The following is a 25,717-nucleotide window of genomic DNA, read 5'->3' on the forward strand; positions in this document are numbered from 1 at the left end:
ACTATGAACACCTCTATGCAAATAAACTAGAAAATCTAGAAGAAATGGATAAATTCCTGGACACATACACACTCCCAAGACTAAACCAGGAAGAAGTCGAATCTCTGAATAGACCAATAACAAGTTCTGAAATGGAGGCAGTAATTAATAGCCTACCAACCAAAAAAAGCCCAGGACCAGACAGATTGACAGGTGAATTCTACCAGAGATACAAAGAGGAGCTGTTACCATTCCACCTGAAACTATTCTAAACAACAGAAAAAGAGGAACTCCTCCCTAACTCACTTTATGAGGTCAGCATCATCCTGATACCAAAACCTGGCGGAGACACAACAAAAAAAGAAAATTTCAGGCCAATATCCCTGATGAACATGGATATGAAAATCCTCAGTAAAATACTGGCAAACCAAATGTAGCAGCGCATCAAAAAGCTCATCTACCACGTGAGAGAACTTACCCACCACGATCAAGTTGGCTTCATCCCTGGAATGCAAGGCTGGTTCAACATACACAAATCAATAAACGTAATCCATTTCAACAGAACCAATGACAAAAAACACTTAATTACCTCAATAGATGTATAAAAGGCCTCGATAAAATTCAACACTTTTTTATACTAAAATCTCTCAATAAATTAGGTATTGATGGAGTGTTTCTCAAAATAATAAGAACTATTTATGACAAACCCACAGTCAATATCATACTGAATGGGTAAAAGCTGGAAGCATTCCCTTTAAGAACTGACAGAAGACAAGGACGCCCTCTCTTACTACTCCTATAAACATATTATTGGAAATTTTGGCCAGGGCAATCAGGCAAGTGAGAGAAATAAAGGACATTTAAATAGGAAGAGAGGAAGTCAAATCATGTTTGTAGATGACATGATTGTATATTTAGAAAAGTCCATCCTCTCAGCCAGAAATCTCCTTAAGCTGATAAGCAACTTCAGCAAAGTCTCAGGATACAAAATCAATGTGCAAAAATCACAAGCATTCCTATACACAAATAATAGCCAAATCATGAGTGACCCCCATTCACAATTGCTGCAAAGATAATAAAATACCTAGCAATACAACTTACAAAGTATGTGAAGGACCTCTTCAAGGAGAACTACAAATCACTCCTCAAGGAAATAAGAGAGAACACAAACAAATGGAAAAACATTCTGTGCTCATGGATAGGAAGAATCAATATCATGAAAATGGGCCATACTGCCCAAAGTAATTTATAGATTCAATGCTATCCCCATCAAGCTACCACTGACTTTCTTCACAGAATTAGAAAAAACTACTTTACATTTCATATAGAACCAAAAAAGAGCCCATATAGTCAAGACAATCCTAAGCAAAAAGAACAAAGCTGGAGGCATCATTGCTACCTCACTTCAAACTACAAGGCTACAGTAACCAGAATAGCACAGTACTGGTACCAAAACAGATATATAAACCAATGGAACAGCATAGAGACCTCAGAAATAATGCCACACATCTACAGTAATCTGATCTTTGACAAACCTGATAAAAACAAGCAATGGGGAAAGGATTCCCTATTTAATAAATGGTGCTGGGGAAACTGGCTAGTCATATGCAGAAAACTGAAACTGGACCCCTTCCTTACACCTCATACAAAAATTAACTCAAGATGGATTAAAAACTTAAATGTAAAACCTAATACTGTGAAAACTCTAGAAGAAAACCTAGGCAGTACCATTCAGGACATAGGCGTGGGCAAAGACTTCACGGCTAAAACACCAAAAACAATGGCAACAAAAGCCAGAATTGACACATGGCATCTTATTAAACTAAAGAGCTTCTAAACAGTAAAAGAAACTATCATCAGAGTGAAGAGGCAGCCTACAGAATGAGAGAAAATGTTTGCAATCTATCCATCTGACAAAGGGCTAATATCCAGAATCTACAAGGAAGTTAAACAGATTTACAAGAAAAAAAAAAACCATCAAAAAGTGGGCAAAGGATATGAACAGACACTTCCCAAAAGAAGACATTTATGCAGCCAACAAACATGAAAAAAGGCTCATCATCACTGGTCATTAGAAAAATGCAAATCAAACCACAATGAGATACCATCTCATGCCAGTTAGAATGGTGATCAGTAAAAAGTCAGGAAATAGATGCTGGAGAGGATGTGGAGAAATAGGAATGCTTTTACACTGTTGGTGGGAGTGTAAATTCAACCATTGTGGAAGATGGTGTGGTGATTCCTCAAGAATCTAGAACCAGAAATACCATTTAACCTAGCAATCCCGTTACTGGGTTTTATCCTTTTACCACCCAAAGGATGATAAATCATTCTGCTATAAAGACACATGCACACATATGTTTATGACAGCACTGTTCACAACAGCAAAGACTGGGAACCAACCCAAATGCCCGTCAATGATAGACTGGATAAAGAAAGTATGGCACATATGCACCATGTAATACTATGCAGCCATAAAGAAGGATGAGTTCATGTCCTTTGCAGGGACATGGACGAAGCTGGAAAGCATTATTCTCAGCAAACTATCACAGGAACAGAAAACCGAACACCACATGTTCTCACTCATAAGTGGGAGTTGAACAATGAGAACACAGGTACCTGGGGAGGGGAACATCACACACTGGGGCCTTTCGGTGGATTGGGACCAGGGGAGGGATAGCATTAGGAGAAATACTTAATGTAGATGACAGGTTGATGGGTGCCGGAAACCACCATGGCATATGTATACCTATGTAACAAACCTGCACGTTCTGCACATGTATTCCAGAACTTAAAGTATAATAATAAAAAAAAAAGATACAAATTCTTGTGCCCCACTCCAGACCTACTGAATCACAAAGTTTGGGGACAGCCCAGTAGTCCATGTTTTAACAAGTTTTCCAGGTTATTCTGATTTACAGTAAAGTTTGGAAACCATTGCTGTTGTATAAAAAAATTAGCATGTTTATACTATCTTCTAATATGGAAGTTTAAACCCCCACACTAATGAAATTTATCTTTGCTTATTAAAGTTGATGGTAGAGCCAAGGATAGATGCTTGAATAGGAGGGTAGGTAAAGAAGGAAGGAAGACCTTATTAGCTATGTTACTTCTGTGACTATTGATATGCCTGTGTTTGCATAGTTGAAAATATATCCTGATTACATTACAGTAGAATTAAATTCTATATATGTATATTTCATTATTATAGACCTTAAAATCTATAAGATATTAATCATTCTGTTGTTTTAGAAGGATTAATACTTGAGAAAATACAACAATCAAAGTAAAAAGCTTTGTAGATGAGCTCAACAACAGAATGGAGGGGATAGGAATCAATGAACTGGAAGACAGAACAATAGAAATTATCCAGTCTTAACAATAGAAAATAGACTGAAAAATCAACAGAATCTCAGGGACCTCAGATACTATAACAAAAGGTGTTACAGTCCTATTATCAGAGTCCCAGAAGGAGAGGAAAAGACAGTAGGGCTAAAAAAGTAACCAAGTTATGACTGAAAATTTTCTACATTTGGTGAAAGACATAAACCTGCAGATTCAAGAAGCTAAACAAACCTCATTCAGAAGAAATCCAAAGAAATCCACAGCAAGAAACATCATAATTAAACTTGTCAAAACTGAAGACCAACAAAAAGATCTTGAAAGCAGCCAGGAAAAAATGACACATTAAAGAAAATGCTGCAGTTTGAGTATTTATTTCCACCAAAATTCATGTTGAAATATAATCCCCAGTGTAGCAGTGTTGAGAGGTCGGACCTTTAAGAGGTAATTGAGTCATGAGGGCTCTGCTCTTTTGAATAGATTAATCCATTCATGGGTTAATGGATTCATGGGTTATCATGGGAATAGGACTGGTGGCTTTATAAGAAGAGGAGGAGATATTTGAGCTAGCATACTCAGCCCCCTCACCATGTGATGCCCTGCACCCCCTCAGGACTTTGCAGAGTCCCTGTTAGCAAGAAGGCCTTCACCAGATGCAGCACCTCAAAAAAAAAGGCATTGAAATAACAGATTTCTCATCAGTAACCATGGAGGCCACCAGAAGGATATGCCACTAAATTTTTCAAATGCTAAAAGGACTGTCAATGCAGAATCCTATACCTGATGAAAATATTTTTCAGGAATGGAGGGAAGGGAAATCAAGACATTTTCAGATGAAGAAAAACTAAGAATTTGTTGCCACTACATTTACTCTAAAAGAATAAAGGAGTTCTCTAAACAGAAAGGAAACAAAAGAAGGAAACTTGAGATGTGAGGAAAGGGGAAAGAAGGTGATAAACAGAAGTATTGATAAATACAATAGACTTTTCTTCTCCTCTTATGTTTTCTAAATTATATTTGGTAGTTGAAACAAAAATTATAACACCAGCGTGGTTCTAAATGTATGTAAAGGAAATACTTAAGAAAATTATGGCCGAGTGCAGTGACTCACACCTGTAATCCCAGTGTTTTGGGAGGCCAAGACAGGAGGATGGCCTGAGGCCAAGAGTTTGAGACCAGCTTGGGGAACGTAGCGAGACTTTGTCTCCATAAAAAATTTAAAAATTAGTCAGGCTTTTGGTGCATGCCTGTAGTCCTAGCTACTCAGGAGGCTGACATGGGAAAATCACTTGAGCCCAGATGTTTGAGGCTGCAGTTAGCTATGGTCACACCACCACACCCCATCCTGAGTGAAAGAGCAAGACCCTGTCACACACACAAAAAGAAAATTATAAACAGGGGATGGTAAGGGAGGTAGGATTTCTGCCCTTCATTCCAACTGGTAAAATGACGATATGAGTAGCATGTGATAAATTAGTATATGTAATGTAATATCTAGAGAAACCTCTCAGAAACACTATATATAAATCAAAAGAGAATTCTAAAACATGTTTAACCTGCAGAAAGGCAGGGAAAATAACAGAAATGATAAGCAGAGAGAGCACATAGAAAATAAAATCACAGACTTAAGTTCTACCTTATTAAAAATTACATTAAATGTAAATGGTCTAAATAAAAGATATTGTCAGAGTAAACCAAAAACATGACCCAACTGTTTTCTATTTATAAGAAATTTGCTTCAAATATAACAGTATAAGCAAGTTGGAAGTAAATGGATAGAGGAAGACATTTTATGCAAACATCAATTGAAGGAAACAGAAATGACTGCATTAATATCAGATAAAGTGGACTTAGAACAAAGAAAACTCATGGAGACAGAGGGGAACATTATATAATGATAAAAGGGATAATCACCCAAAATATATAGTCATCACAAGTGTGTACGCACCAAACAGCAGAGTTGTAAAAACTGCAGGAGAAAAACTGGTAGACCTGAACCCAGAAACAAAAAAATCCACAATTAGGTATTGAAGTCTCCAACTGTAAGTGTATATTTGATGGAACTAGCTAGAAAATCAACAAGTATGTAGAATATAGAATACCTCAGTGCCACCATCAACCAACAGCACATTTACAGCACGCTCTACTCAACAACAGAATACACGTGGCATTTCAAGTGCCAGTGGGACATACAGCAAAATGGATCATATTCTGGGCCATAAAACAACTGAAATTTTGAAGAATTGAGATAATGTAAAGTGTGTTTTCTGACTATAGTCAAATTAGAAATCAGTAACAGAAAATAACAGGAGCATCTCCAAAATACTTGGAAATTAAACAACTTCCAAATAATTCATTGGTCAAAGATGAAGTCTCAAGGGAGGTTAAAAAATCGATGAGATGGAATGAAAATAAAAACGTAATACAACATACCAAAAGTTGTGGGATACTGCTACAGCAGTGCTGAGAGGGAAATTTATAGCAGTCATGCATACGTTAGAAAGGTGGAAAGTGTCTTTTTTTTTTAATACTTTAAGTTCTAGGGTACATGTGTACAACATGTAGGTTTGTTACATATGTATACATGTGCCATGTTGGTGTGCTGCACCCATTAACTCGTCATTTACATTAGGTATATCTCCTAATGCTATCGCTCCCCCCTCCCCCTACCCCACAACAGGCCCCAGTGTGTAATGTTCCCCTTCCTGTGTCCAAGTGTTCTCATTGTTCAATTTCCACCTGTGAGTGAGAACATGCGGTGTTTGGTTTTTTGTCCTTGCGATAGTTTGCTGAGAATGATGGTTTCCAGCTTCATCCATGTCCCTACAAAGGACATGAACTCATCCTTTTTTATGGCTGCATAGTATTCCATGGTGTATATGTGCCACATTTTCTTAATCCAGTCTATCATTGATGGACATTTGGGTTAGTTCCAAGTCTTAGCTATTGTGAATAGTGCCGCAATAAACATACGTGTGCATGTGTCTTTATAGCAGCATGATTTAAAATCCTTTGAATATATACCCAGTAATGGGATGGCTGGGTCAAATGGTATTTCTAGTTCGAGATCCTTGAGGAATCGCCACACTGTCTTCCACAATGGTTGAACTAGTTTACAGTCCCACAAACAGGGTAAAAGTGTTCCTATTTCTCTACATCCTCTCCAGCACCTGTTGTTCCCTGACTTCTTAATGATTGCCATTCTAACTGGGTGTGAGATGGTATCTCATTGTGGTTTTGATTTGCATTTCTCTGATGGCCAATGATGATGAGCATTTTTTTCATGTGTCTGTTGGCTGCATAAATGTCTTCTTTTGAGAAGTGTCTGTTCATATCCTTCACCCACTTGTTGATGGGGTTGTTTGTTTTTTTCTTGTAAATGTGTTTGAGTTCTTTGTAGATTCTGGATATGAGCCATTTGTCAGATGAGTAGATTGCAAAAATGTTCTCCCATTCTGTAGGTTGCCTGTTCACTCTGATGGTAGTTTCTTTTGCTGTGCAGAAGCTCTTTAGTTTAATTAGATCCCATTTGTCAATTTTGGCTTTTGTTGCCATTGCTTTTTGTGTTTTAGACATGAAGTCCTTGCCCATGCCTATGTCCTGAATGGTATTGCCTAGGTTTTCTTCTAGGGTTTTTATGGTTTTAGGTCTAACATTTAAGTCTTTAATCCACCTTGAATTAATTTTTGTATAAGGTGAAAGGAAGGGATCCAGTTTTAGCTTTCTACATATGGCTAGCCAGTTTTCCCAGCACCATTTATTAAATAGGGAATCCTTTCCCTATTTCTTGTTTTTGTCAGGTTTGTCAAAGATCAGATGGTTGTAGATGTGTGGTATTATTTCTGAGGGCTCTGTTCTGTTCCATTGGTCTATATCTCTGTTTTGGTACCAGTACCATGCTGTTTTGGTTACTGTAGCCTTGTAGTATAGTTTGAAGTCAGGTAGCGTGATGCCTCCAGCTTTGTTCTTTTGGCTTAGGATTGACTTAGCAATGCGGGCTGTTTTTTGGTTCCATATGAACTTTAAAGTAGTTTTTTCCAATTCTGTGAAGAAAGCCATTGGTAGCCTGATGGGGGGGTGGCATTGAATCTATAAATTAACTTGGGCAGTATGGCCATTTTCACAATATTGATTCTTCCTATCCATGAGCATGGAATGTTCTTCCATTTGTTTATGTCCTGTTTTATTTCGTTGAGCAGTGGTTTGTAGTTCTCCTTGAAGAGTTCCTTCACATCCCTTGTAAGTTGGATTCCTAGGTATTTTATTCTCTTTGAAGCAATTGTGAATGGGAGTTCACTCATGATTTGGCTCTCTGTTTGTCTGTTATTGGTGTATAAGAATGCTTGTGATTTTTGCACATTGATTTTTGTATCCTGAGACTTTGCTGAAGTTGCTTATCAGCTTAAGGAGATTTTGGGCTGAGACGATGGGTTTTTCTAGATATACAATCATGTCATCTGCAAACACGGACAATTTGACTTCTTCTTTTCCTAATTGAATACCCTTTATTTCTTTCTCCTGCCTGATTGCCCTGGCCAGAACTTCCAACACTATGTTGAATGGGAGTGGTGAGAGAGGGCATCCCTGTCTTGTGCCAGTTTTGAAAGGGAATGCTTCCAGTTTTTGCCCATTCAGTATGATATTGGCTGTGGGTTTGTCATAAATAGCTCTTATTATTTTGAGATACGTCAAAAAGGGGGAAAGTTTCAAAACAAATATCTAAGCCTTTAGCTCACGGACGTAGGAAAAGAAGAGAAAATCAACCGAAAGCAAGCAGGAAGGAGGAAATATAAAATCAGTGAAACTGAAAACAGAAAAATTGAGAAAATCAATGAAACAAAGAGATGGCTCTTTGACAAGATCAGTAAAATTGATAAACCTCTAGGAAGACTGACAGAAAAAGGTAGATTGTCAGTATGATAAATGAAATAGGAGATATTACAACAGACCCTGTAAACATCAGAAAAAATAATAAGGGAATACTGCAAACTCTACACACATAAATTACAGATGAAGTGGACCAATTCCTCAAAAAACAAAAGCTATTGCAGCTCATCCAGTTTGAAATAGTTAATTTGCCTCGTTTTATAACCACTAAGGATTTCTAGTTTTAAAACTTTAAAAAAGGAATATTCACGTCCGGATGGTCTCACAAGATAATTCTACCAAATGTTTAAAGAATTAACACCATTTCTGTACAATCTCTACCAGAAAATAGACGAAAAGGGAACACTTCTTTTTTGTTTTACAAAGCTGGTATTACACTGATAACAAAACCAGAGAAAGATAGTTTAAAAAAAATAAAAGAAAAAATTACAGACCAATATCCCTCATGAATATAGAGGCAGAAGTCCTTGACAAAATATTAGCAAATAAAATTCAGCAATATGTAAAAAGAGTTATACACCATGACCAAAAGGTCACTCCAGGGATGCTAGATGGTTCAGTTTTAAAAATATCAATTAATGTAATCCACCATACTAACATGCTAAGAATGATTCCATGCAGTAAAATAATTTGACAAAATCCAACACCTATTCATAATGAAAAAAATTAAAACTCCCAGAAAAATAGGAAAAGAGACTATTTTCTTTTACTTGATAAACAGCATCTAGAAAAAACCTGCAATTAACATTTTATGTAGTTGTGAAAGACTGAATGCTTTTACCTTAAGTTTGGGAACAAGACAAGGATGTCTGCTCTCAGCACTCTTATTCAACATGGTAAGAATCAAAGGGAGTACCCTTATATTGGTAAAGCTTACCCTTTTTCTTAATGGCTAAAGACTTAGTGCTTTCCCTTTTAATAGTGGGAATAATGCAAGGATGTTTGCTCTTACTCTTATTCATCTCAGTGCTGCAAATTTTAGCCGATACAAGAAGGCAAAAAGAAGAAAAAAGACATACAGATTAGAAAATAAGAAATAAGACTTTCCCTATTTGCAGATGGCATAATTGTCTATGCAAAAAAAAAAAAAAACCCATGAAATCTCAAAAAAAAACCTTCCTAGAATTAATAAGTGAGTTCAGTATGGTTGAAGAATACACGATAAACATACAAAAATCAGTTATATTTCTTTATGTTAACAGTGAACACACGGACACTAAAATAAAAATGCATATCATTTGTAATCACTTAAAAAAGAATAAAAAGTTTAAATCTAGCAAACATTACAGAATATGTATGCTTAGAATCATACCATGCTGGTGAAAGAAATTAAGATCTAAGTAAGTGTAAAGGCATACTGTGTTCATGGATTAGAACACTTAGTGTAGTAAAGATGCCAATTCTCCCCAAATTGATACAAAAAGGAACTTTATGCATTTCCTGTCAAAATTCCTGTATGTTTTTTGTTGTTGATATAGATAAGATTATTTTCAGATTTACCTGGAAAGGCGGAAGAACTGGAATGGGTAAAACTGTTTTTTAAAAGAATAAAGTTGAAAGAATCAGTCTACCTGGTTTTTATTATATAGCTACAATAATCATACTGAGATAACCATGGAGGAAGAGATACAAGGATTGATGGCATATGCCCAGTTGTAATTTGACAAAGGTCCAAAAGCAATTCAATGAAGGAAAAATAACCTTTTCAATAAATGGTGCCAGAGTGATTGGACATCTATAAACAAAAAATAATAAACATTAACCCCAAACTCACACCTTATACAAAAATAAAGTTAAAATGGATAATGGACTTAAATGTTAAATTATTGGACTTTTAGAAAAAAAATGAAACGATCTTTGGGCTCTAGAACTAGAAAATAGTTCTTAGACTTGACACCAAAAGTACAATCCATAAGAGAAAAATTTATCAATTTGACTTCATCAAAATTTAAAAGTTTTGCTCTGAGAAAGACCCTGTGCAGAGGATGAAAAGACAGGCTACAAAGTGGAGAAAACATTTGCAAACTATTTTAGTGACAAGGGACTATTATCTAAACTATATAAGGAGCTTTCAGTACTTAACAGCAAAAAAGTAATCCAGTCAGAACACAGGCAAAAGATGTAAAGAGACATTTCACTGAAGAAGATATATGGATGGAAAATAAGCACATTAAAAGCTGTTCAACCTCATTAACCATTAGGAAAATGAAAATTAAAATCACACAGAAATATTATGCAACTATCAAAAATAATGACACCACCAAATGCTGGTGAGTATGTAGAGAAACTGGATCACTAATATATTGCTGGTGGGAATGTGAAATGGTACAGCCACTCTGGAAAACAAGTTTGGCAGTCTGTTAGAAAACTAAACATGCAACTGCCGTATATTTACCTCAAAGAAATGAGGAATTATTTTACCCAATAACCTCTACACAAATGTTTCTAGCAGCTTTATTTACAATAACCTAAAAACAGATGTCCTTCAGTGGTTGAATAGTTAACCATATAGCGGTACACCCAAATAGTGGAATACTATTAAGCAATAAAAATGAACTATCTGTATATGCAACAACTTGGATGAATCTCCAGAAAATTATGCTAACTAAAAGCCAGTATGAAAAGGTTACATAGGTGTGATTTCTTTCATATAACATTCTTGAAATGACAACATTTTATAAGTGCAGAATCTAATAATGTACTTTTCTGTTTCCAGAAATAAAAATTAAAAGACTTACAGAGGACGTAAGTGCATATACAGTCATGACATTTCAGTCAAGAATAGACCACATGTATGACAGTAGTCCCCTAGATTATAATACTATATTTTTACTATACCTTTTCTGTATTTACATACGTTTAAATAAACAAATGCTTATCATTGTATTACAGTTGTCTACAGTATTCAGTACATTAAAATGCTATACAGATATGTAGCCTGGGAGCAATAGGCTATATGATATAGCCTAGGTGTGTAGTGTGTAGTAGGCTATACCATCTAGGTTTGTGTAAGTACATTGTATGATGTCCACACAGTGACAAAATTGCCTACTGGCATGCTTCTTAGAATGTGTCTCCATCATTAAGCAATGTGTGACTATGTTCAAAAAGCTAATAAACATTAAAAACATTGAGCCTCATTGAAATACCCCCGGAAAGATGACTTTTGGGAAGAGGGGAGAGGAAAGAAATGCTAAATTACATTAACAAACAATTTTGAGGGGGAAGGGAAAAAGGGAAGAAGCTCTATATTAAGTATGCACATCCATGTAAGATACAGCCTAATATGTGTTGTGAGTGAAGTGGGGGAATAAGCCCTCCAGTAAATGTCCTTCACTATGGTTGGTTTTTCTTTAATCTCAAAGTGAATGTAATACAAAATAATTCATTTGTTTTCTGTTCATGTTGAATTAATCTTGTATTTTATAATTTTGAAAAGTTTAATGATTCATTATTTTGAATGTGTTTTTATACTTCACAGTGAGAGAACCACCACCAATTTGCCTTGATGTTAGACAAAAACAGCGTACATCTATGGATGCATCATCATCCGAAATGAAGGCCCCAGTCCTTCCAGAACCTATTCTTCCTATCCAGCCCAAAACTGTGAAAGACTTTCAGTAAGTTTCAGCTATTATATGTAAATGTATAGTCATCTGCATGTCAGCACTTTACATAATTTAATATCTTTATTTGAGAAATTAACTTTTGGATCACTATAAGATATTAGCCAAGAGGACCTCAAAAGACTATATGTCTCAAGTTGAAGGTGAAAGAAAACAAATATATAAATAACAGGAAGAGTTAGATAGGCTGCAGCAAAATAAAGGAAACACTAAGTAAGAGTCTGTGAGTCAAAACAGGCAAAAAGAGATAAAGGTGGTAATTAAATAATAGACTGTTACCATTTTTAGAAATAAGAGTTCATTTATGATGTGACACATACTGTAAAAGTTATGTAACCATTCAAAAAATCCAGATGCATATTTGAAGGACGAAGTGGGAATGATAAAGATAGAATGTAAACAAAGTCTCCAGAAGTTTAGCTATGAAGGGAAGGAAGGAGCGATAATTGAGCGACATGTTAAGGATGATCTTTTTTAAAAATAAGTAAATGGGAAAGTTGAAGCTAGATTAATATCTTAATCCAATTAAGAATTATAAATCCATAAACTATATTAACTGGGACATATTTCTTTATTTGGCTTCAGTATTTTGTATTGCATGTTTGGTGACATTAAAAAGTAATACTAGTTTATCTGAATAATATTTCTATATGTATATACGGTTAATGTGTTTTCATTTTAGGGAAGATGTAGAAAAAGTTAAGTCATCAGGAGATTGGAAAGCAGTACATGATTTTTATCTAACAACGTTTGATTCTTTCCCAGAATTAAATGCTGCATTTAAGGTAATTATACATAAAACACACTTTTCATTTCACTTTTAGTTTTAAATTTTCCAAAAATGATAAATTTACCTCATTTTCTACCCAATATTGATTTAAACATGCATATATTATGTATTGATTTCAGAAATTATACAATACATACAATTATGTAATATTATAAATATTATATAAGTATATGGGTTTTTTGAGGGGGTTGTTTTGTTTTGTTTTGAGATGGAGTCTCACTCTGTTGCCCAGGCTAGAATGCAGTGGTGCAGTCTCAGCTCACTGCAACCTCTGCCTCCTGGGTTCATGCAATTCTTGTGCCTCAGCCTCCTGAGTAGCTGGGATTACAGGTGCCTGTCACCACACCCGGCTAATTTTTGTATTTTTAGTAGAAACAGGGTTTCACCATGTTGGCCAGGCTGGTCTCGAACTCCCGACCTCGGGTGATCCTCCCATGTCAGCCTCCCAAAGTTGCTGGGATTATAGATACAAGCCATCACACCCAGCCCTTAAATGTTGTTTTTACTTGCTCTAATGTTCATGTTTAACTCCATTCCTTCACTTTTAAAAAAGAAAGTTATTAAAATAATCTTTGTACATTTCTTTTTATTTTCAGAAATTTTGCCCTAACAGTTCTTTTTTATTATCAGACTAAAAAATAATCAAAATTATGAAGGAATAGTATGGTTCAAATTTTACTAAGAATAGTCTTTAAAATGTTGAATATACTTAATTCTTAAATTGAATTTGCAGAAAGATGCCACTGCCTCATTTAACACCATTGAAGACTCTGGGATTAATGCTAAATTTGTGAATGCTGTGTATGATACCTTACTTAATACTGTAAGTATTATGACATGCAAGTAATATTATTCTGTGTCTCTTCTGTATATCAAAAGCAGCCATACAAATATTGTAAAAATCACCTTATAATTACCTTAGAAACTCTGATACAATTTTATAGTAAATGTAGCTGGAATTCTCATAAAGTTAGATTATTTTATTCTTTTATTTTTTAATTATGAATTAAGCAGCAAATACTTTTATATCCAATCCTTTTTTAGAAAGACTTGCTAAAATCATGCTTTACTTACTCAGCAAAAGGAGGTAAGTTATTTAATTATATTGGAATTACACTGAATCTGTAGATCAGTGGTTCTTAAACATTAGCCTGTATCAGAATCACAAGAAGGGCTTGTTAAAATACAGAATTTCAGATTCAGTAGGTCTTGGGTGAAGCCCAAGAATTTTCATTTGTAACAAGTTCCCAGGATATGTTGATTTATGAGTTCATTTATGATGTGACACATACTATAAAAATTATGTCACCATTCAAAAAATCCAGATGCATATTTGAAGGACTAAGTGGGAATGATAAAGACAGAATGTAAACAAAGTCTCCAGAAGTTTAGCTATGAAGTGAAAGACATGTTAAGAATGACCACATTTTGAGAACCATACTGCTATAGATCAATTTGTGAAAAATTGACATCTTTTCAATCCATAAGCATACTGTATCCTTTTAGGTACCTAGGTCTTCTTTAATTTCTCTTGGTAATGTTTTGTAGTTTTCTGGATAGAGGTGTTACACATTTCTCATTACATGTATTTCTAGGTACTTCATTTTTTTTATCCTATTATAATTTTATTTTCCAATTGTGACTAATATATGGAAATACTTTCATATATTTATCTTTATCTAAATACAGTTGACCCTTGAACAATGCGAGGGTTAGGGGCGCTAACCCCCTATGCAGTAAAAAAAAAAATCTGTGTATAACTTTTGACTCCCCAGAAGCTTAACTACTAATAACCTATTGTTGACCAGAAGTCTTACTGATAACATAAACAGTCAATTAACGTATATTTTATGTTATATGTATTCTATACTATATTGTTACAATAAAGTAAGCTAAGGAAAAGGCAATGTTATTAAGAAAAAATAAGGAAGATAAAATATATTTACTATATATTAAGTGGAAGTGGACTATCATAAAGGTCTTCATCCTTATTGAGTAGGCTGAGGAAGAGGAGGGGTTGGTCTTGCTGTCTCAGGTGGCAGAGGTGAAAGAAAATAATGTATATAAGCAGACTTGCACAATTCAAGCCTGTATTCAAGAGTCAACTGTACTTTGCTATATTCATCCATTAATTCTAATAGTACATCAGTAAATTAACTTGGATTTTCTGTGTACACAATCTTGTCATTTGTGAAAAAGGAGAGTTTTATCTCCTTCTAATCCTGTATCTTATATGGATATATGTATGTGTTTGCATTGACTGGGACCTCTTTCACAATTGTGAATAAAAGAAGTAATAGCAGACCTCTTTGTCTTATTCCCAATCTGAGTACTTCACTATTAAATATAAACATCCTTTGTCATTGGAGAAATGAAAATAACATTACACATCCATCAAAATTAATAAAATTGTTTCAAAAACCTTACCAAATATTGGCAATATTGTGGAACAGTTGGAACTTTCATCCCTTGATGATGTAAGTATAAATTGGTACAACCACTTTGGAAAAATACTTGGCATGATCTCCTAACATGAAGCATATGCATATTCTGTAACCCAACAATTCCATTCCTAGGTACACTTCTCTGAACTTGATTTTTTTTTGACATTTTAATTTCTTTTGAATTTAAGTCGTTTTTTGCAAACTAAGAAACAGAATTAACCTAAGGCAATCTAGTCCTCGAGGGATCCAGGCTGAGTCTTATGATCTTCAGCAGAATGACATCATAATACAAGATGCTAGCAATAGGGTATAAATTCTAAATGATAACCACTTCCCTACATTTTTTATTAGGAAACAGCCAAAAGTCCAATTCTTAAAGGGATGACATACAAAACATCTTAATCTACAAAGGCCAGAATGACCCAGTTATATACTGAACAACCTATTGGGGAACCAAATCAGAGCTGGCCAAGGATTGGTAAACAGAGAAGGTGTTTACATTTTGAACAGTTTCTCTGTGGCTTAAAAAATTGCTGGTTGCTGTCAGTAAGAAAGCAAGTAAAAAATATTGCAGATGGACCCACCCTGATACTTGATTTTACCAAGGTATTTCACTGGAACATGACAGTAGAAATAAGTATAAGGTATAAGATAATTATCCCTTATCTCACTATGTTGCCCAGGCTGGTCTCAGACTCCTGGCCTCAAGCAGTCCTCCTGCCTTGGCCTCCGAAAGTGTTGGGATTATAGATGTCAGCTGCCGAGACTGGCCAGGAGGACTTTCCTTAAACTAAAGGTCAATGTAGCCATCAACTGTGCTGCAGAGCCTTGAGTATTTCTCTTTACTATTGGGGATTCTGGTAGCCAGGTTGGTACTGGATGCCATCATAACATGCTGACACAGCTATAGTTGGAGCACACACCATGCTACCTGTGCACCAAGGGCTTGGCCATGGTTGGCCTGAGGCCCCATGACACAGCCCACCTCACAGCCACTCAGCCTACCCCAGCATGGACCAGTCCTCTCTGAGTTCTTTTGACTTGGAATATTAATATGTTATATATGTTAAAAAATTAAATATACAGATATGAGGGAAAAAACCCTAAATGGAACCTAAAATGGAATACAAACAGAAAATAAACCTAACTGTATTTTGAATGAACACTATAACCATATTTTCCAAAACTCACTAAAAAATTTTCATACATAGTAGTTTAACTATATAATCCTAACTAAAAAAACACATGCAAAGACTATAAACAAATCTTTAACTTTTAGTAGTTTGGGTTTTTTTCCCCCCTCAGGGGTATAGACAAATAATTCTGAAATTACATTCTATGTATTGTTGAACTAAACAAACGAGTAAATATATCAATGTTGCTGGGAGTCAGGTTTCTCATTTTAGAAAAGGGAGATATAAATATGGGATGAGGGAGGCTAAAAACAGTTCTGGGAATTGAATTAGAATTGGAGGCATTGTAATGATCTCATGGTTTTTAATAGATGTAGATACATGTGTGTGCATGCGAGTGTGTATGTTCTAGCCCTGTGCACTGAAAGGGCCTACAGCAATAACATCCCTTCACTATACTGAGCACTTCACTATGCTTATCTTGGTTTCTAAATACCATGTCACACTAAAAGAACCACAGCTCCCTAGAGAAATGGCTAATTCTAAGACCAAGGCAGGGAAAGTACCAAATGAACCTGGATCATCTAGTATCTCACCATTAATTATGATGTTAGCTGTAGGGTTTTTTTTTTTTTAAGATGTTCTTCATCAAGTTGAGGAAGTTCTCCTCTACTTCTTGTTCACTGATAATTTTTATCATGAATGGGTATTGGATTTCATCAACTGTTTCTTTTGCATCTATTGCTATGATCCCATGATTTTTCTTTTTTAGCTTGTCGATGTGATGAATTACATTAGTTGATTTTCAGGTGTTGAACCAGACTTGCATAACCTGAAATAAATCACACTTGGTTGTGTTGTATAATTCTTTTTATGTATTTTTGGTTCAATCTGCTAATATTTTGTTGAGGATTTTTTTGCATCTATGTTCATGAGAGGTATTGATCTATACTTTTCCTTTCTTGTAATATCTTTCTCTTTTGAGCATTAGGTTAATGCTGGCCTCACAGAAGGACTTAGAAAGTATTCTCTCTGCTTCTGTTTTCTGGAAGAAATTTTACAGAATTGGTATCATTTATTTTTTAAATATTTGGTAGAGTTTACCATTAAAGCCATCTGGGCCTGGTGCTTTCTGTTTTAGAAGGTTAACAGTTATTGATTCGGTTCCTTTAGTAGACACAGGCTTATTCAGATTATCTGTTTCTCCTTATATTAATTTTGGTAGATTGTGTTTTTCAGTAACATATCTAGGTTATCAAATTTGTGAGCATAGAGTTGTTCATAATAGTCATAAATTATCCTTTTAATGTCTATAGAATCAGTGTGAGAATGATCTTTCATTTAGTAATTAGTATTTTCTCACTTCCTTTTGTGATTAGTCTGGCTAGAGGCTTATCACTTTTATTGTTCTCTTCAAAAAAAAATCAGCATTTTGTTGTGCTGATTTTCCCTGTTCCCTGTTTTAAGTTTCATTGACTTCTCTAATTTTTATATCTTGTCTTCTACTTACCTTGGATTTAATTTGCTCTTTTGTTTTAGTTTCCTAAGGTGGACACTTAAATGATTAATTTCAGATTTTTTTGCTAATATATTCATTCAGTGCTATACATTTCCCTCTAAACACTGCTTTTGCTATATCTCACAAATTTTGATAGGTTGTATTTTTCATTTGTTTTCCAAAGCTAAACACAGGCTTACCATATGATCCCTCACTTACACTCATGTATTTACCCAAATGAGTTAACAATTTATGTTCACCCAAAAACCTGCACACAAATGGTTACAACAGCCAAAAATTAATTACCAAAAATGTCCTTCCATAGGTGAAGGGATAAACAAACTGTGGTACATTCCATATCATGGAAATTATTCAGTGATAAGAAGAAATGAGATACCAAGTCACAAAAAGACATGGAGAAACCTTAAATACATATTGCTAAGTGAAGGAAGCTAGTCTTAAAAGGCTGTTAAAAATAACAGTAATGGAGATTTGGAGCCAAGATGGCCAACTAGATGCAGCCAGGAGGAACATCTGCCACGGAGAGACTGGACATCAGGAAGACTGGCACACTCCAAGCAGATCTTCAGAGGGAAGGCATTGAGATTGGACAGATGGAGGACACAGAAGCTGAGCTGAAGGGAGCTGGGAAACCTGGGTGGGGCTACCAAGTAATGGGATTCATTCATGACCCCCAGCAGCTCCTGTGGAAAGGGTGAGTTGAACAGGCAAGGAGCAGCCTGCTCTTGCCACGGGCCTCCGGAATCCTGGCAACAGGAGATTCCATGACCCCCATGGACACTTGAGCTGGCAGGGTGAACTGCTTACACATGTGGGAGGAGTAGGACTCCAGCCTGTGTGGCGCCCAGATGGTTTGGTATGGGAACATCTGCAGTGGAGCATGGCCAGGGTTGCCCATCCCTCAAGGCTCACTGTGCTCCTCCTGGAGACTTTAGCCTTGAGAAGACTGTCAGACCTGGACAGAGTAGGGTGGTCTTGCCTGTGAGATGGTGCCAGACCAATGTGAGTGTCCCCCTGACTGCTGGCCTCTCCCAGGGCCTCAGCCTCGCCACACTCACTTGCAGTGCACCCTCGATGCCCAACCAAGGTACTTCCTGGGGCATAGCTCACCAGCAGACCACTCCTGACCATCGTAGGGTCCAGCAGAGTGGCCCCCACCAGCACACACCAGCCTACCTGCAACATCCCCCCATCAGAACCTCCCCTCCGTAGCTTTGCCAGCATGCATTTGTCCACAGCCACCTTCCCACTGCTTTGCCAAGGTTTGCGAGTGAGTGGACCTCATTTCTCCCCACCAGTATGTGTGCGTACCCCACCAGGCTACTGCTGCATGAGTACATGCTTGCTGCCCCCACTGGCATGTGGGCACCCAATCATGCCACCATTGCTGCTGCAAAAATGCACACGGACACTAGCAACTAGCCCCCCCACCATGCTGACACCACTGTTGGTGCAAATGCATGTGCACAGAGTCCAGCATTCCTGCCCCCCACCAGCACCCCACACCTACCACACCACCACTGCTGCCAGCTCAAGAGCATGGAGCAATGCCACAAGCCCACTCCTACTAGTACCTTGCCCCAGCAGATGTGTGTGCATCCCATCACATGGCTCTGAGTGGCTGCTGGCACATGCAAGCAAGCATGGATCCAACTGCCACTACCCCAGTCAAGTGTTTTGTCTGACACCACCCATCAGAATGTTAGTGCCAGTGGACCAAGAAGACCTCAGCCCTTTTGGCACAGCAGGTTCCTAACCTTGAGGGGCCAGAGAACAAAGCCAGGGGCTCGGTACCAGCACCCCCCAGAGTTAGAGCATGCAGCCCAGGAGTGCTGAGCTGAGCCTTGGCCCACTAAAATTTTCCAGAAACAAAGCCATTCAGCTGAACCCACTTTATACCACAATCAAACCCACAAATGCATCAAAGAAGATAAAAGCCAAAAAAAATAAAATCCCATTCGAAGGGTAGCAACTCCAGAAACTGAACGAATGTCAACTCACTCAGATGAGAAAGAACCAGAACAAGAACTCCGGCAACTCAAAAAGCCAGTCTTCTCACCTCCAAATGACCACACTAGTTCCCAGCAATGGTTCTTAACCAGGCTGAAAATGACAGAAGTAGAATTCAGAATATGGATAGGAACAAAGATCATTGAGATTCAGGAGAAAGTAGAAGCCCAATATAAGGAATCTAAAGAATACAATAAAATAATACAGGAGATAAAAGATGAAATGGCTTGTTTTAAGAAAGAACCAAATTGATCTGACAGAGCTGAAAAACTCACTTCACAAATTTTACCCCATCTCTACAAAAAAAAATTTTTTTAAGTTAGCTGGGTGTAGTGGTGCATGCTTATAGTCCCAGGTACTTGGGAGGCTTTAGTGGGAGGATCACTTGAGCCCAGGAATTCAAAACTGTGGTGAGCTATGATTGCACCACCACACTGCAGCCTGAACAACAGAGTTAGACACTGTCTCACTCAAAAAAAAAAAAAAAAAACAAGAGTACAGTTGCAAACATTAACAGCAGAATTGACCAAGCTAAAGAAAGAATTTCAGAGCTCAAAGACTGATTCTCCTAAATAGCTCAGTCAGACAAAAATAAAAAATAAAGAAGAATGAACAAAGGCTCCAAGAAATATGGGATTATGTAAAGAGACCAAATCTACAACTCATTGACATCTCAGAAAGAGAGGGAGAGAAAGCAAGCAATTTGGAAAGCATATTTGAGGATATCATCCATGAATATTTCCCCAACCTCACTAGAGAAGCCAACATTCAAATTCAGGAAATTCAGAGAACCCCTGCAATATGCAAGATGACCATCCCCAAGACACACAGTCCTCAGATTCTCCAAAGTCAAAATGAATGAAAAAATGTTAAAGGCAGCTACAGAGAAGGAGCAGTTCACCTCTAGTGAGAACCCTATCAGGCTAACAGCAGACCTTTGAGCAGAAACCCTTCAAGACAGAAGAGATTGGGAGCCTATATTCAGCATTCTTAACAAAAAGATATTCCAACCAAGAATTTCATATACAGCCAAACAAAGCTTCATAATTGAAGGAGAAATAAGATACTTTTCTGATAAGTAAATGCTAAGGAAATTCGTTACCACCAAACCTGCCTTACAAGAAATCCTTAAGGGAGTACTAAATATGGAAAGGAAAGACTGTTACCGGCTGCCACAAAAACACACTTAAGCACATAAACTATTGACACTATAAAGCAACCACAAAATCAAGTCTGCATAATAACCAGCTTAACAACATGATGACAGGAATGTAAAAAGGCTAAATGTCTACTTAAAAGGCACAGAGTGGCAAGTTGTATAAGAAGAAAGACCAAACTATATGCTGTCTTCAAGAGACCCATCTCACATACAGTGACATCCATAGGCTCAAAGTAAAGCAATGGAGAAAGCTCTAGCAAGAACAATAGAAAAGAAAAAAGAGCAGGGATTGTTATTGCAACTTCAGACAAAACAGACTTTTAAACCAACAACAATCAAAAAAGACAAGAGCATTACATAATGGTATAGAGTTCAGTTCAACAAGAAGACTTAACTATCCCAAATATATATGTACCTAATACAGCAGCACCTGGATTTATAAAGGAACTTCTTAGAGATCTACAAAGAGACTTAGATAACCACACAATAATAGTGGGAGACTTCAACACCCCACTGACAATATTAGATGATTGAGGAAGAAACTAACAAAGATACATGGGACCTGAACTTGTCATTTGACCAAATGGACCTAACAGATATCTGCAGAACTCTCCACCCCAAAACAACAGAATACACATTCTTCTGAACTGTACATGACACATACTTTAAGATCGACCACATAATCATAAAACAATTCTCAGCAAACTTTTAAAAAATGAATTCATATCAACCACCATTGCACAATAAAAATAGAAATCCATACTGAGAAAACCACTCAAAAGCATACAATTATAAGGAAATTAAAACAGTCTGCTGCTGAATGACTTTTGGGTAAGCAGTGAAATTAAAGCAGAAATCAAGAAATGTATCGAAACTAATGAGAACAAAGATAAAACATACCAGAATCTCTGGGACCCAGCACTGTGAAAGGAAATTTTATAAATCTAAATGCCTACATCAAAAATGTTAGATCTCAAGTAAACATAATATCACACCTAGAAAATCTACAGAAACAAGCACAAACTAACCCCAAAGCTAGCAGAAGACAAGAAATAACCAAAATCGGAGTTGAACTGAAAGAGTTCCATCCCAAGATGGAACCAGGAAGAAATGGAAACCCTAAACAGACCAATAATGAGCTCTGAAATTGAATCAGTAAGAAACAGCTTACCAACCCCAAAAAAAGCCCAGAACCAAGTGGATTCACGGCCGAATTCTACCAGATGTACAAAGAGCTGGCACCATTTCTACTGAAACTATTCCAAAAAATTGAAGAGGAGGGACTCTTCCCTAATTCATTTTGTGAGGCCAGCATCATCTTGATATCATCTTTTCTGTGTGGCAGAGACACACACACACACACGCACACACACACAGACACACACGCACACACACAAAGAAAACCTCAGGCCAATATTCCTGATGAAAATTGATGCAAAAACCCCTGCAAAATACTAGCAAACTGAATCTAAAAGCACATCAACAAGCTAATCCACCATGATCAAGTAACCATTATCCCTAGGATGCAAGGTTGGTTCATCCTACACATATCAATAAATGTGATTCATCACGTAACAGAACTAAACACAAAAACCACATGATTATCTCAATAGATGCAGAAAAGGCTTTTGATAAAATTCAGCTTCCCTGCATGTTAAAAACCCTCCACAACTAGGCATTGAAGGAACATGCCTCAAAATAATAGGAATCGTCTGTGACAAACCCACAGCCAACATCATACTGAATGAGCAAAAGCTACAAGTCTTCCTCTTGACAACAGCACAAGACAAGGATGCCCACTCTTAGCACTCCTATTCAACATAGTACTGGGAGTCTTAGCCAGAGCAGTTGGGCAAGAGAAAGAAATAGAAGGCACCAAAATAGGACGAGAGGAAGTCAAATCTTTGCAGATGTTATTATTCTATACCTAGAAAACCCCAAACCCTCTGCCCAAAAGCTCCTAGACATGAAGAACAATTTCAGCAAAGTTTCTGAATGCAAAATCAATATATAAAAATCAGTAGCATTTCTATACACCAACATCTAAGCAGAGAGCCAAATCAAGAACGCAATTCCACTCACAATAGCCACAAAAAGAATAAAATACCTGTGAGTATTGCTAACCAGTGAGGTAAGAGAGCATTAACAATGAGAATTACAAAACACTGCTCCAAAAAATTACAGATGAACAAACAAATGGTAAAACATTCCATGCTCAAGGACAGGAAGAATCAATATCATTAAAGTGGCCATACTGCCCAAAGCAATTTACAGTTGCAGTGCTATTGCAATCAAACTACCAATGGCATTCTTCACAGAATTAGGAAAAAACTATTTTAAAATTCATATGAAACTAGAAAAGAGTTTGATTAGCCAAGGCAATCCTTAAAAAAGATAACAAAGCTGGAGGCATCACATTACCTGGCTTCAAACTATGCTACAAGCCACAGCAACCAAAACACCATGGTACTGGTTCAGAAACAGACACATAGACCAATGGAACAGAATAGAGAGCCTAGAACTGATGACACACACCCATAACCATCTGATCTTTGACAAAGTCCACAAAATAATAGGGAAAAGATTATCTGTTCAATAAATAGTGCTGGGATAACTCGCTTGCTATATGTAAAAGATTGAAAGTGGACCCATTTCTTTCACAATATACAAAAATCAACTCAAGACAAATTAAAGACTTTAATGTAAAAACTGAAAGTATAAAAAGCCTGGAAGATAACCTAGGAAATATCATTCTGGACATAGGCCCTAGCAAAGATTTCATGAAAAAGATGCCAAAAGCAATTGCGACAAAAACAAAAATTGATGAATGTGACCTAATTAAACTGAAGAGCTTCTGCATAGCAAAAGAAACTATCAACACAGTAAGTAGACAACCTGCAGAATAGGAGAAAATATTTGCAAACTATGCATCCAACAGAGGTCTAATATCCAGAATCTATAAAAAACTGAAATAATAAGCAAAAGCAAACGACTTCATTAAAAAGTGGGCAAAGAACATGAGCAGACACTTCAAAAGAAGACATACATGTGTCCAACCAGCATATGAAGAAATGTTCAGCATTACTGATCATTAGAGAATTGCAAATCAAAACCACAGTGACATAACATCTCACACCAGTCAGAATGGCTGTTACAGATATTGAGATTATGAACATGAGACTGTCTAAAATACCTTTGATACCAAATAAATTTTTAGAAGTAGAGAAATTAATAGATTAAACAGCAGATTGGAGACTGCTGGAAAAAGAATTAGTAAACTGGAAGGTAGAAGTGAAGAAGAAATTTCTCAGAGTAGAACTCAGGGAAAAAGAGATAAACTATAAAAATAATAAAGATGTATAGAGGTTAGAATAAGAAAGACTAAACTTCATTGTATTTGGAGTCTAAAAATTATGGCACAGAAAGAATGGGGGTGTATATTTAATACCTGGGAGTTTCCCATAACTGATGTAAGACGTGAATCCACAAATAACAGGGGAAACAAAATATATACTAAGCAAGATAAAAGACATGCAGACAAAGTAGTGAAATTGGAACATCGTAATAAAGATACCTTATAAGTAATCAAAGGGAAAAGACAAATCATTCATAAAGGAAAATTATTTGGCTGTCAGCAGACTGCTCCACAGCAATCTGGGAGCCAAAAACCTGAAGTAATATTTTCAAAATACTAAAAGAAAAGAATATAAACATTGATTGATGTAGCCGGAGAAACTGACTTTCAAGAATGAGGGTGACTTAAAGATATTTAAAATAAACAAAAACTGCCTTTACCACCAACAGACGTATACTTAAACTTTAAAAGATATATTTTAGAGAGAAGAGGAAGGATCTGAGATATAAGAAAGAATGATGAAAAAGAAATTCATAAATACAGTTGACCCTTACACATCATGGGTTTGAACTGCATGAGTTCACTCACACACAGATTTTATTCCGCCTCTGCCATGTCTGAGACAGGAAGACCAACTCCTCCTCTTCAGCCTCCTCCTTAGCCTACTTAATGTGAAGATAAAGAGGATAAAGACCTTTATGATAATTGCTTCCACTTAATAAACAGTAGATATATTTTCTCGTGATTTTCTTAATAACATTATCTTTTCTCTATTTTATAAGAATTCAGTGTATAATACATAATACATATAAAATATGTGTTAATAAACTATATTATTGGTGAGGTTCTGATCAACAGTAGGCTATTGATAGTTAAGTTTTGGGGGAGTCAAAAGTTATACATGGATTTTTCTACTGCATTGGGGGTCAGCATTCCTAACTCTCATGTTGTTCAAGGGTCAACTGTATTTATGTGTCACCCTAAAAAATGCCTGCATAAAATTGATGTCTAATGTGTGTAATTAAGAAGAAAAAGCCAAAAGATGGGAGAATAACAACACATAAGTAGAGGAAGCTTATTGGAATTAAAAGTATTCTAAGATGCTCTAAAGAAAGAGTAGAATATTAACTTTAGGCTTGTTAACTATGAATAATAAGAAATCAAAAGTAACCTCTAAAACAGTGCAAGTGGAGCAAATAACTTTCTTAACTGGAGAGTAGGGGAATGGGAAAAAGAAGCATTAAAAAGTGAGTTGAATGAAAACAAAAAATAAGATTGCAGAAACAAGTCCAAATATAGGAATAAGTAATTGAATAACGAATATAAATGCACTAAACTCACTGGTTAGAAGAGACTATCACTTTAGATTTTTAAAAATTATATTCCATGCTAAGCACAAGAGATACCTAAAAAGGTTGAAAGTAAGGGTATATAGAATATATACCAGACACCTTCTAAACCAAAGGAAGTTGA

The 25,717-nt window shown here is 36.3% G+C and overlaps 1 protein-coding gene and 1 long non-coding RNA gene across 15 annotated transcripts in view; one reads left to right on the forward strand and one right to left on the reverse strand.

Moving 5' to 3' along the window:
* The window catches only part of HECTD2-AS1 (HECTD2 antisense RNA 1), a 304,499-nt gene that overhangs the window by 141,776 nt on the left and 137,006 nt on the right, over positions 1-25,717 (reverse strand). The gene's annotated exons all lie outside the window — the stretch shown is intronic.
* HECTD2 (HECT domain E3 ubiquitin protein ligase 2) overlaps positions 1-25,717 on the forward strand; it is a 105,586-nt gene that overhangs the window by 39,503 nt on the left and 40,366 nt on the right. For 13 of the 14 annotated variants that reach the window (NR_145526.2, NR_104291.3, XM_047424658.1 and 10 more), the window contains exons 3-5: positions 11,690-11,828; positions 12,517-12,619; positions 13,358-13,447. Coding sequence is in view for 12 of the 14 variants with exons in the window: in NM_001284274.3 (NP_001271203.2) it covers positions 11,690-11,828; positions 12,517-12,619; positions 13,358-13,447 (332 nt within the window). In the remaining 2 variants the exon portion in view is untranslated. Of the gene's footprint in view, positions 1-11,689; positions 11,829-12,516; positions 12,620-13,357; positions 14,929-25,717 lie in introns of those variants that run through there. The other variant, NM_173497.4, reaches the window with a different exon arrangement.

This window comes from Homo sapiens, chromosome 10 (genome assembly GCF_000001405.40).
Source record: "Homo sapiens chromosome 10, GRCh38.p14 Primary Assembly".
NCBI lineage: Eukaryota > Metazoa > Chordata > Mammalia > Primates > Hominidae > Homo > Homo sapiens.